Here is a 12,307-nt window from a genome sequence, read left to right as displayed (position 1 = left end):
GTCACTCTGAGGGTGTGAGGGTCAGAATGACCGTGTGTCATGGTGAGCGAGTCCCTGTGAGGGTGTGTTGCCCGCTCTGTGGGAGCCCATGTGTCAGAATGTGGAGGATGGGTGTGTGACAGAGACCAACTGAGACAGAGACAAAGAAACTGAGTGGGGAGAAGTACAGAGAAGCAGAGGAGAGGCAGGCACAGCCTGAAGTGGATGGAGGGGGGGGTCACCCAGACGTGTTCTGAGTGGGAGATTGGAGCAACTGGGAGTTTGTGTCTGGGATACCCAGCTCAGAATCCCGTGCAGGGGACAGAGCAAGGTCACCGCAGGCGTGGGTCCCACGTGGAGGGGGTGGGGAGAGGGAGGTCTAGAAGCACAATGAACTCAGTGTGGCGGGCTGGGCCCACAGCCACAAGGTCATAGGCCAGAAAAATATTGTCGCTTATGTCAACTTCTCAAATACCCATAGGGACACAGTCATAGCCCTACTCAACCCACAAGAGGACACAGTCCCAGGGAACACACATCCTCAAGAGATACCCTCACAGCCATCATACACTTCCAGGAAGCCCACCCCCAGGAAGCACCCCCAGTCAGAACCAACACACACCTACAGCAGACTCTATCAAGCCAACACACACCTACGGAAAATGCTCTCATGACAACACACACCCACAGGAGAAATGCTGCAACCAACATACTCCCACCGGTTCATTGTCAAGGCCAACACATACCATGGAAGACATTGTTACTGCTAACACTCTCCAGAAACACTGTCACCAGCAACAAACAAGTAGACCAGCACCTCTCAGGAGACATTGTCACTGCAATCCACATCCATCAGAAGCACTGTCACAACTGTCACAGCACATCTTATTAGGTTTACTTCCTTGGAGCTGCCCATACATAGTGGGTGTCCTAGAAGCCTGTCACTAACAGGAGGCTGTGCCACAGTTGCCCTTACCACACAGCCACTTGTACAACCCCCAGGAGACAGTCATGGATGGCATGCACACCACAGGAAGACCTGTCCCAACTTCTGAATAAACTCTGCTTAACTTATCAAGCTCACACCTTCACCCCTTCTCATACGTAGATCTCCCAGGTATACCCTCTTGTTCCCTGAAAACTTCGAGATCTGGATAGTGTATCCTGCCATGGTTTCTCAGTGTCCTTCAACACCACAGCTTCACAGATTCTTGACCTCCTTAGCTCCTGTTACCTTCCTCCCTCCCAGGACCACTCTGTAGAACTATTCCACCTTTAAAATTCTAAACTCTTGCATTCCTCTCTCTACCCACAACCTCCTATATCCTTCCAGCTTTCAGATGTTCTCGCTCCCATTACACTCTTTGACCTCATAATGACCTCTTGCCCTTGACCTCTTTGTTTTCTCCTACTCTGTTCCTTTCTGACTTTGTGCTTTCTTTCCAGCTCATATGCTAAGGATCATCCCTTCAACCACTCCTTGGCCACTGTGTTTCCTTGTCTTCTATACTCATCCCTCAAATTATTGCCCCTAACTAGAATGATTTCTCAACCACACCAGGGGACGCTTCTATAAATTCATACTTCTAAAAAATTCAAACCTCAACTGGGCCCTTCATAAATAAATAGATGATTTTTTTTCTATTTTCTTCACACTCATTACCCCACATCCCTCACACCATTGTTTTCAGTAGATTAATTAATCAAAACGCTAATTCATTCATTTAACAAACACATACTAGGCACCTACTCTGCTAGGCATTGTGATGAGAGTTGGCAGCACAAGTGTGAACAAAATGGACATGGTCCTTATCCTCATGGAGCTTACAGGCTGTGGAGTGAGTGTTGTAACACAGCAGCACACAGCAGAGTAACCTAGGCCAGTGTAGGGAGGTCAGAAGAGTCTTTCTGGAGGAAGTGGCATTTAAACTTAAACTTGATGGAGTGGGTGGAGAATATGCCAAGCCAAGGGAGCAGCATGTAAAAGCCCACATGAAGGAAAATAGTGTGTGTGTGAGGGATAAAGCAGTTCAGTGAGCCTGACACTTACAGCATGAGGTGACGAGAGAGGGAGAGTCTGTGGGAGAGGTAAATGGAGGCTTAGACCATGCAGGGTCTAGGAGGCCACAGAAAGAAATTCATTTAACCCAAGAATAATGGAGAGTCACCAAATCATTGGAAGCTTGGAGCGATATGATCAGATTCATTTTAGAAATACCACTCTGACAGCCATGTGGAGACTGGAGAAAGAGCCTGAGAAGAAGGACAGTTGGCTGTTGCAGAAACTCTGGAGGGTATAACACTGGCCTGAACTGGAGTAGTGGCCGGAGAGAAGGAGAAAGTGGATGGTTTCAAGAGCTCTTTAGGCAGTGGGATCAGCAGGGCTCAGTGACAAAGCAGACATGGTGGGGTGAAGGAAAGGAAGGAATTAAGAGTGGACAACCTGGTCTTCTGGCTCACTGAGGAAATTGAGGCCATCTGTTTTGAATTCCCTCAGATTTCTGCCTCCTCCCTCAAATTTTATCTGCATCCTCTTCAATCTTTTCTCCTTCCTTCCTATAAGAACGAAGTGCTGTCTCTTCTACTTAAGGCCAATCCTCTACCTGTGTTACGGATCCCATCCCCTTCCTCTTCCACAGGGACCTCACTCAACTGATTATTCCATGTGTTTCCCACGTCTCCAGTTCCTTCCTTTCTCCCATTCCTCCTGGGAGGACATAAAGATCCTCCAGCCTCTCCTATCTTTCTTTAACCCTGTAATACCCCGTTAACTAAGAGGCTTCCTCACTTTTCTTCACTGTCACATTTTGTGAAAGAGTCTTCTGCATATAGCTGTTCCTACTTCCTCACTTCCCATTTGTGCCTGCCCCTCAAATGTAACTGCTTTCCCTAGGAGAAAGTAACATCTCTTCTGCTCAATCTGGAGGATCTTTTCAAAAGTCCTTAACTGCCTGACCTCTCGGGAGGAGCTGACATTATTGACCATTCTTTTCTCCTTGAGTTGTTTTTGTTGTTTGGCTTCTGAGCCATGATTTTATTCTATCAACATTTAACAGGCAAATAAGTGGAAAGTTACATTATGGTATGTATCTCTTCTGGAGCTCCTCCTAGCTGTTCTCTCAGTCTGCTTTGAGGGATCCTTTGTATGCCCCCTGAATGTCACTGTTCCTTAAAGTTCTGGCTTGGACCTTCTTATTGTCTCACTGTATACACACCTCTAGGTAATCAATTTCATTCATTTTTCAAGGCTTTTATTAACATCTATAGGCTGATGACTCACAGACATCTCTCTTCTAGGCCACATTTCTGCATACCTGCTGCATGCCTGCTCTTTACTGTATAGCTCACCGACCCCTTATCATGTGCAAACCTGATCTCATCATTCCTTCCTTCCCCAAATGACCATCCCCACTCAGGTTGCAAGCTGGAATCCCAGAAATTAACTGTCACCATTCCCTTCTCCACGTATCCCATAATCCAGAAATCCCTTGGAACGTGTTGGTTCTATCTTCTCTCCAGCAATCTCTGATATCCCATCCCCTTTTCTCCATCACCTCTGCTGTTGCCCTCATCTACCATCTTTTCACATGAATTTTTGCAAGAGCCTCCTAACTTTTCTTTCTACACTTCTCTTCCTTCTTTCAATCCATTCTTTTCATTGGAGTAACAGACACCTTCCTAAAGTACAAATCCAACTATGTCACTCCCTGCTCAGCATTATTCAAATGCCTTCCATTTTCCTTGAACAAAATCTTTTCTTTTTAACAAAGGTTATGAGATCATAGTCTGACCTCCCCAAGCCTCCCAGTCTCATCACCTGCCCCATTTCCCCAGCCCCCTCACGTTTTGAGTTTCAGCCATACTGAATTTCCTGTAGTTCACCAAAGACACTACCTTTTTCCATGCTTCTGACCCTTTGCACATACTGCTCTGCCTGCCTGAAAGGCCCTTCACTCCCTTCCCTCCTGGCTTATCCCTTCCCTTCCTCATATCTGGTCTCAAACCCTGCCTTTAATGACTCCACCGGGCAGGCTTGAACTCTGTGTTTCGTTGTTGTCATTGCCTCTTCCCTGTCTTATCTCCCCAAACCGCGCTGGGACCTCCTTGATGGCAAGAGTGCGTATTACTCATCTTTGTGACTCAGGGTCCCACACAGGTGCTTGGCTGTGAACAAAATGAATGAATACATGGGTACCTCACAGCACATCCCTCACCCTCGTTCACTCTTCAGAAGACTGACACCTAGTCTCAGCTGCCCACATAATTAAGAAATTTTCACACTACTCACTTACTCTGCTGGAGACACTTCCACTCCCCTCACCTACAATTTATTCTTCCTTCGTCTCCCTCGATCCTCTTCCTCTCCCTTATCTGTACTTTATCTTTCATTCAGTTAGCAAATATTTAAGAAGTACCAGAAGTTTGCAGACCCAAATCCATTGAGCCAGGTGTCTACTGGGGCTCTGGGAAGGGATGGAAGAAGCAGAAGCTGTGCCAGACTACAAGGCATTACAGTGCCTCACCAGATTCTTTCCCCAGAGGTGTCCTAGGCTGCTCCTTCCTTTAATGCCCTCTTAGCCCACGGACTCACCCACCCTGAGCCCTCCAACTCCTGGCATCCTGGCCTCAGTCCTCCCCATATTAGGTTCCTTGATTCTTGTACTCTTTTCTTCTTCCCTCTCCTGCCTGTCAGTGGTAACAGAGGCAAGACTGGACTCTCTCTTCTCTGATGCCCTGGTATCTGCTAGGAAAAGCCCCTCCCAGGGGTTCATGCTATTGTCTCCTAGCTTCTTCCCAGCTTCCTGCTGACCCCCCTTCCTTCAGCTCCTGTATCCATCTTCCCTAGGTAACCTTCTGACACCAGGCCACTTTCAACCACTGCCACTTGGGAGGGGCTTCCATTTCCCTGTGTCTCCTGGTGAAAGGGCACCTCCTCCAGGAGGTCCACCTGGAACTTCCAAGCCCTTCTCTGCTCACTTAGTATGCTGCAGTGTCCTTGTTATTTTTTTCTCTTTCTAAGCTACTGGATAGAAGAAGCTTGTTATCTCTCAGAGCCTAGAACACACCTCTTATATGGATGGTGAGAGAGAAAGAAGGAAAGGAAGAAAGAGAAGAAAGAGGGGAGAGGGAGCCACACTTTAGACTTTCCAGACACACTATTTATGGCCTGGATGACTTAGCTTCTTTGAGCTCCCCTTTCATCAGGTGAAAATGGAGGTAGCAGTATCTCCTTAAGAGAGTTGTTTTGGGGATTCAGAAGGAAAATTATTAAGTGTTCAGCTATTAACTTAGTTAATTTTACTTCTACCATCTCAGCCCCTCTACTATGCTGTCCTACCCTCAGCTTCCCACTTTTCCAAATTTGTTCTTCTCCTTCAACATTCTGGTTGCTACATCTCCAACTTTTCTGCTAGCTCTGGCCTTGCTGGCCTCTTCTACAGCCTAGACCCTGATTGTCAGGGTCAGAATTTAGGGCAACCCTTGCTGCATGTCACTACCCCGTGCCCCAGCTCCCTCACCCTGCCCTGCCCGTCCCTGCCGAGTCTCCCTACCTGTGAACATCATGAAGGAAAGGACTTGATCTGTCCACGTCACCTCTATCTCTAGGGCTTAGTATGGCATTTGGCACATGGTAAGTCTTCAACAAGTATTTGTTGAATAACAGATTTATCAATGAATCACTTCACATGTGTACCCTACGACCTCCTCTCCCCTCTCCATTTTTTCTTTGTCTCCTGGAGGCCTCCAGTCATCCTCCATGTTCCTTCCCCTCTCTTACCACCTGCCCCCATGCTCACCTGGACTGACAATTGTCTCAACATTGAGCTCCTCCTCCTCTCACCCACCCTGCACACACTGCCAGATGTATTCTCCTAAAACAGAACTTTGATCATTCTCCTTCCCTGCTTTGCTGCCTGACCAGTTATATGAGCTTTTATCAGAGCATCCCGAGCCCTCCAGCAGGCAAGCAGTGTGGTCTAACAGAAAGCACTAGCTTTGGAGTCTGTCAGGACTGCATTCTAGATCATTCTAAATGTCTCTCTGCTACCTTCTTTGAGCCCTCAGTTTCCTCATCTGTGAAATAACACTTACTGCAGAGTTACTGTGTGTGTGTGGCACACAACAGCAGCAGCTAACATTTAGTGAGCGTTCACTGTGTGCTGGACATTGTGCTATGTTTATTGTTAGCATTATTTCATTAACTCTCATATCAACCATTTAAGGTAAGCACTTTAAACCCCAGAGGTTTAAGAGGAAACTAACACTTAGAATGTTTAGTAACTTGCCTAGACTCATGCTTAAGTGGCCGAGTCAGGATTTGAACTCCAGCCTGACAGTCGAGCCTGCCTTCTTAACCACTATAATAATATCTCATGCTCACATACTTATAAAGCTTACTATGTGCCAGACACTACTCTAACAGCCAAATACAATGTAGTAGGTATTATTATTGTCCTTATTTATAAATGAGGAAATGGAAGCACTGAGAAACTAAGTGGCTTGCCCAAGGTCACACAGCCAGTAAGTGAAACTGGGAACCAAATCCAGCTGGCTTGGCCCTGGAGTCTGCATCTTAACCACTATCCTGTCCTGCCTTGCTATGATATATTGTCTCCCTATTCTAGGGGTGTAGTAAGCATGTATTGGTGAATGAATCCATGCTGATGTCTGCTCTATGGCTAGCTATTGGTTGATCCATTCTTTCTCATTTCCCACTGCAAGAGGCTTGCACCCTTAGTACTCTTCTGGCACAATTTTCTCCACGATCACTAGAGACCTCCTCACTGCTAAATTTAGTGTCCACTTCTCAGCCCTTATCTTACTTGAATTCTCAGCAGCATTGGACATTATCGATCCCTTTCTTTTTTGAAATGTTTTCTCCCTTAACTTCTGTGATACTGCCCCCAGGAAGAATAAAGGTCTCTTCAACCTACTGCTTAATGTAACTAGTTCTCAGGGTTCTGTCCAAGACTCTCTGCTCACTCTACACATTCTATCTGATGGAGTCTCTAAGGCCACAGCTTTCAGTTACCCCATGATTTGTCCAAATCCACATCTCCAACCCTGGTCTCTATGCTAAGCTGCAGGCTTGCAAACCCAGCTGTGCTTGAATATCTTCACATGGGGATCCCAACAGTCACCCCCCAAAATGGCTTTTCCTCTGCAGTGTCCAAATGGAACCACTTTAGTAACCTGGCCAGAACCCTGGTAGGCAGGCCGAAGTCTAGAGTCCTTCCACTCCCTCATCTTCCTGGAGAGTCAGTGACCAAGTCTTCTTACCTTCACCTCCTCACATCTTTCATGTCTGTATCCTCAGCCTCACCGCTGCTAACCTGGACTCTCCCAGAGGCCTCATTCTTCACCTCTCTCCTCCAGATTCTCTTCCTTTTTCAGGCCTCCCTTGCCCTGTGAGGACTCTGTCCCCTCAACTTCCCTGTAATTTCTTATTCTCTCCATCTTTCTCTCCTCCCTGAATCTCAGGCAACATAGACTACATAGTCCTGCGACCAAATTAAGGCTGTGTTAACTCAGGAAAATTGTTTCACTCTGAGTCTCAATTTCCTTGTTTGAAAATGGAAGCCGGGATTCCTTCCTCACAGGGTTGTTATGGTGATTAAATGAGATACTGTCTGTGAGCTGCTTGGCACAGGGCCCAGCGCACCATAAAAGCTCAGAAAATAGACTTTTCCTCTGCCTCTTTTGCTCACATCTGTCCTCAGCTTCTCCCTGGAGTGCTTCCTGGGAACCAGTCCTCAGGAGGGACAGAGCCAGGCCCGGGCACTGCTCTGGCCACTGTCCTATGGGGCTGTCCCAGGGATATCCAGGGAAGCTAGTTTGTTAGCTGTCTCCTCCTCCCTCCTGAGCCCCCTCCTCCTTCTTCCAGCTCTGGCCCAGCACGCACCGGTGGGGCTGTGGCTGTTCCTGCCTCAACTCACCTCCCCTTTCTGAATTAGCTCTGCTCCCTCTTTCCTCTGCCATACACAGTCACTCTCCCTCAGTCTTGTTCCCTGTCATCCCCCTACCAGAACCTCTTCTCACTTCCTCTTTCTTTTATGCCTGGCCCTGTATCCTCACCCCTTTGCTCACTGAGGCTACCCTCTTCTTCCTCCACTTCTAGCCCATCTACCTTTTGTGGCGCCCCTCCTCACCCCTGTTGTCTTTCTGCCCCTCGCTGGCCCTGGGACAGGAAGTTGAGGGAGGAGGCCTGGGTGGTGCCAGCTCCCCCAGCCTGTTTCCCCTTCAGCGCCTCGGGCCACTCCTCTACTTCCTCCTGGAGCACCCCCTTCCCTTGTAGTCCCCCTGCTCCTCCCCCCCAGCCCACCTCTCTTTCCTCTCCCATGTTCCCCCTGCTTCCAGGTCCTGTAGACACACAGGCTGGGGGTGTGAGGGAAGCTCTGTTGGTGAGGGAGGGGGAATTGACATCACGTTTCAGGCCCCAATGAACAGTCTTGCCCCTCCCCCTCCTAATGAGAACCAGCTGTGGTTCCAGAGGCCCAGATGTGGGGATGGAGGAGGAGAGCAGGATGGAGTCAGAGGACCAAGTAGCAGGACCGGGGACAGAGTGAGGGCACGTAGCAAGGCAGAATCAGGTGGGAGAAGAGCCATGACAGATTTGGAAGAAGGAAGAAGACAGATCTAGGCAGGAGGCAGCATATGCTGGGGAAAGAGACAAGATGGAGGGGCAGGCCAGATCTGGGGAAGGGATGGGACAGACCTGGATGGGGAAAGATACAAGAGCAGGGAGGAGGAGCCAATCTCAGGGAAGAGGAGTGAGAAACACTGGACGGACTTGGGGAGATGGTGCAGGGGAGAGCTGGAGCGAGCATGAGACGGTCTCGGGAGAGAGTCTGGAGTTCGAGTTTGGAACTGGAAGGCTTGCAGCAGGAAGTGATGAGGCACAGTCCAGACAGAGGCCCCAGGGACCTGGAGGTCACAGCTGCAGCCGCAGAGCTGACCACGAGTGCCCCGGCAGCATGTGCGAGAGCATGCCTGCGTGTGGGTGGGTCTTCAAGTGTGAGTGCATGCTCGCCTTGTCAGTCTGTGCATACGTGACACTGGGCCTGTGTGTGTGGAGGGTGGGTGTGTGTGGAGGGTGGGTGTGTGTGTGTATGTGGGGGCATATCAGAGGGTGTGAACATGCCTCTTGGTGTGAGGGCCATGAGAAAGTGTCTTTCTGTGTGTGTGTATGTATGCCTGCATACGTGTGGGGGTGGGTTCCATGTGAAGGAATAGGCTCATCTGTGTGGAAAATGTGCTTCTGTGTATATATGTGAAAGGGTCTCTGTGTGTGTGCACTGGCTGTGTATGTTAAAGCAAGCCTCTGCGCACGTGTGTATGAGCATGTGTTGAATGTACCTGTGTGCATGTGCATCTGCCTGCATGGGAATGCATCTTCGTAAGCCTGACAGCATGAGAGAGAGTGCCAGGCAGTGCATGGGGCTGTGACTTTGTGAGTGTGCACCTTTGCGTGTCCACCGTGAAAGTGTTCTGCAAGAGTTTGCAGTGGTAGGAGCACAGGTTGAGAGAAGGAGTTGTTTTCACACAGGGCATCTGCCTGGACATGAGTCTCTCCTCTTGAAGTCTGATCATTCACCTGAGATTTATCTCAAACCATTCATAGATTGCTTCATTCAGAAAACGTGTTTATCATGTACTATATGCTGTGCTCCATGCTACATACAAAGATGAAGAAAATACAGTCTGGGCTCACAAACAGCTACTTGTCTGGGTAGGAAGACAGGTAACTATAATACAGAGTATGATAAGCACATTGGCCTCACTATTATCTTCCCTCCCTCCAAACCATGACTGCTTTCTCTCCACTAACTGATTAAATCAATAGAGCCATTCTTACCCCTTGACCCCTAGCCCAGCCTTTGGGCTTAGATCCCTGATCTGGGCCCTGGAACCATCCTTGTACTCTCATCCTCTCCCTTCTTCAGATCAGGCCTGGGTTCACCCTGACCTCCTTGTTCTGAATCCCTCTGACCTGTTATTCCATGTGGCACACATACAACCCCAGCATTCTGAAGCTGGGATGAAGGCAGAGAGGGGGCCTATCAGGGGATGGTGCTGGGAATTAATGAAAGAGAGTCTAGCAAATACCCAGCTCTGTGTTCCTTTCTTACATTGTTTCTAATTTTCACAAAACCCCACAGGATAGGTGTCAGCATAGCCATTTTACAGATTACGGACATAATGCGCAGCCTGGGGCTCAAACCCAGTCCAAGCTCCAAAGCCCCTGCTCTTTTTGTTGCTTCACACAGATGGGAGAGAGGAGGTGGGTCAGAAGTGTAAGTAGGGGAGTCAGAAACCCACCTCTCTCTGTGGAAAGGAAGTCCTACAGCACAGCAAATCTGTAAAGACCTGAGAACAGGTTTGTGTAGTCACAGGACTGACCGAGGGGCCTCAGGGTCCTGGGCTCACATGTGTTTGTGTGTGTTGTCTCAGTTGGCATGACCATGGATGTGTCTCTCTGAGTGTGTTACGTGAGTATGGTGGTGTGGAAGCATGAGGCTCTGACCATTCATTTAGCACGGGCTGCCTGCTCTTGCTATAACTCTACTAAATGCTGGAGAATCAAGAGGCTAACCAAGACCTGTCACTGCCCTCAAGGAGTCTCCAATCCAGTGCAGAGGGCAGACACATGAACAAATCGAGGCTGCTGTGCAATTTATTGTCAGTGTTTACCAAAAGTAATGAGAGCCCAGTAGTGTGTATAATAGGCTCTGCACAGGCAGGAGGGAGTGATTTTGTGGAGAGGATTTTTAGAGGTTATCTCATGACAAAACAGTAGCAAATACAAGGTGAGGAGTTAGGAAGGAGCATGGTAATAGATTTCATGTTGGAGTGCAAGGTATGGTGGGGGAAGTAAAGGTGAGGGACCATGGAGAAGTTGGCAGGGCTCAGATCATGAAGACATGTTAAGGACTTTATCTTGTAGATCAGAAGTTCTATACCTAGTTAGTGTCCATGAACCTCTTGATGCTATAGACATAAGTTTGTGTGGTTGCCTTTCTTTCCGTAGAGGGGCATTTGTTTTCTGCTGTCAGTTATGGGAACCAGTGGAAACCTTTCATCAGGAGTGGTTTGGTGAGAGTTGTGTAGGTATCTCCAGTCAGGTGGAGATGGATCAGAAGGTCCAAGCCAGTAAGTGGAAGACCAGTGAGGAGCTGTTGCAGGAATCACAAGGAGAGATGTTCGGACTGGGATGTGGCAATTTGGAGAAACAAGAAAGACCTGAGACATGTCTAGTTGAAGTGGTGGGGTTTACATGACTAATTGGAAATCAGGACTGAGGATAAGCAAGGACACAAGGAGAGCTTCTGGATTGCTAGTTGGACACCTGGATGGATGGTGGCCCTATTCACAGGAAAAGGAATGGAGGGGAAGCAGTTTGAGGTGATGACTGGGGATACTGAAGCCCAGTATATGGCTGGACATGTGTCTCCAGAGGTCTTCAGAGCTGGAGCTGGAGATTGGAAAGTCATTAGCAAATAGATGGCACATAAAAAATGATTGATACCTTTGAACTGAAGGCATGGGAGTGGATAAGATCACGCAGGCAGAGTATGGAGAGTGGGAAAAGACACTGCCCAGGACTGAACCCCGAAAAGCACCAATTGTGAAGGAGTGGGCAGAGGAAAAAGAACTTGCAAAGGAGACAGAGGAGTGGGCAGGGAAGCATGATGGAAATAAGAGGTGGGGGTCACAGTGTGAAACCGAGGAGAAGAGATTTCAAGGAGCCAGTGATCAGTGTTTCAGAGTTCCAGAATAACCCGATAAAAGGAAGATAAACAGGTGGCCGCCAACATAGAACATGGAGATGTTTGGAAGCTTAGTGAAAGCAATGTCACAAGAAAGGAAGCCTCACTGCGTAGAGGGAGGAGAGTGTGAGAAGTGAGAAAATGGGGGAAATGAAAAAATCTTTCAGAAAGGGCGATAGCTTCTGAATGTCCCTCTTTCCTCTGGTGACTACATCCCATCTTCAGTCTGTGCTCTCACTTATCCACAGATTCTTCTTAGTCACTAGAGTAAGGGGCTCCGGGGCATTTCCTTCCTGATCTTAAGCATCATTTGAAACCTCCCTTAGACTCAGAGGCACCACCCCTCTCTGGTTCCTTGCCCCGCCTCTTTTTCTTTCTGAGCGGTTAAGGACACCTTTATCCAGCTGGTAGTTCAGGTCAGAAATGTGCGCATCATCCTTGACTTCTCCCAATCCTTCTTCCCCTCACTTCAAACAGTCAGCAAGCCCGGCCTCTCTACTTCCTGAACCCCACCAGAGACCTATCCACTTCTCGCCATGTTCATTGCTTACACTCACCCA

The 12,307-nt window shown here is 48.4% G+C and overlaps 1 protein-coding gene across 1 annotated transcript in view, besides 1 other annotated feature; it reads left to right on the top strand.

The window, feature by feature from the left end:
* The window catches only part of DCHS1 (dachsous cadherin-related 1), a 34,480-nt gene that overhangs the window by 601 nt on the left and 21,572 nt on the right, over positions 1 to 12,307 (top strand). The window lies entirely within an intron of this gene.
* Positions 7,553 to 8,053: an enhancer, noted in NCBI's record as "H3K4me1 hESC enhancer chr11:6668387-6668887 (GRCh37/hg19 assembly coordinates)". NCBI's record gives its function as "activates a minimal SCP1, AML or CMV promoter by ChIP-STARR-seq in primed H9 embryonic stem cells {active_cell/tissue: H9 hESC(primed)}" and the evidence as "EXISTENCE:reporter gene assay evidence [ECO:0000049][PMID:30033119]".

This window comes from Homo sapiens, chromosome 11, assembly GCF_000001405.40.
Source record: "Homo sapiens chromosome 11, GRCh38.p14 Primary Assembly".
Taxonomy (NCBI): domain Eukaryota; kingdom Metazoa; phylum Chordata; class Mammalia; order Primates; family Hominidae; genus Homo; species Homo sapiens.
This window is presented reverse-complemented; position numbering and strand designations above follow the sequence as displayed.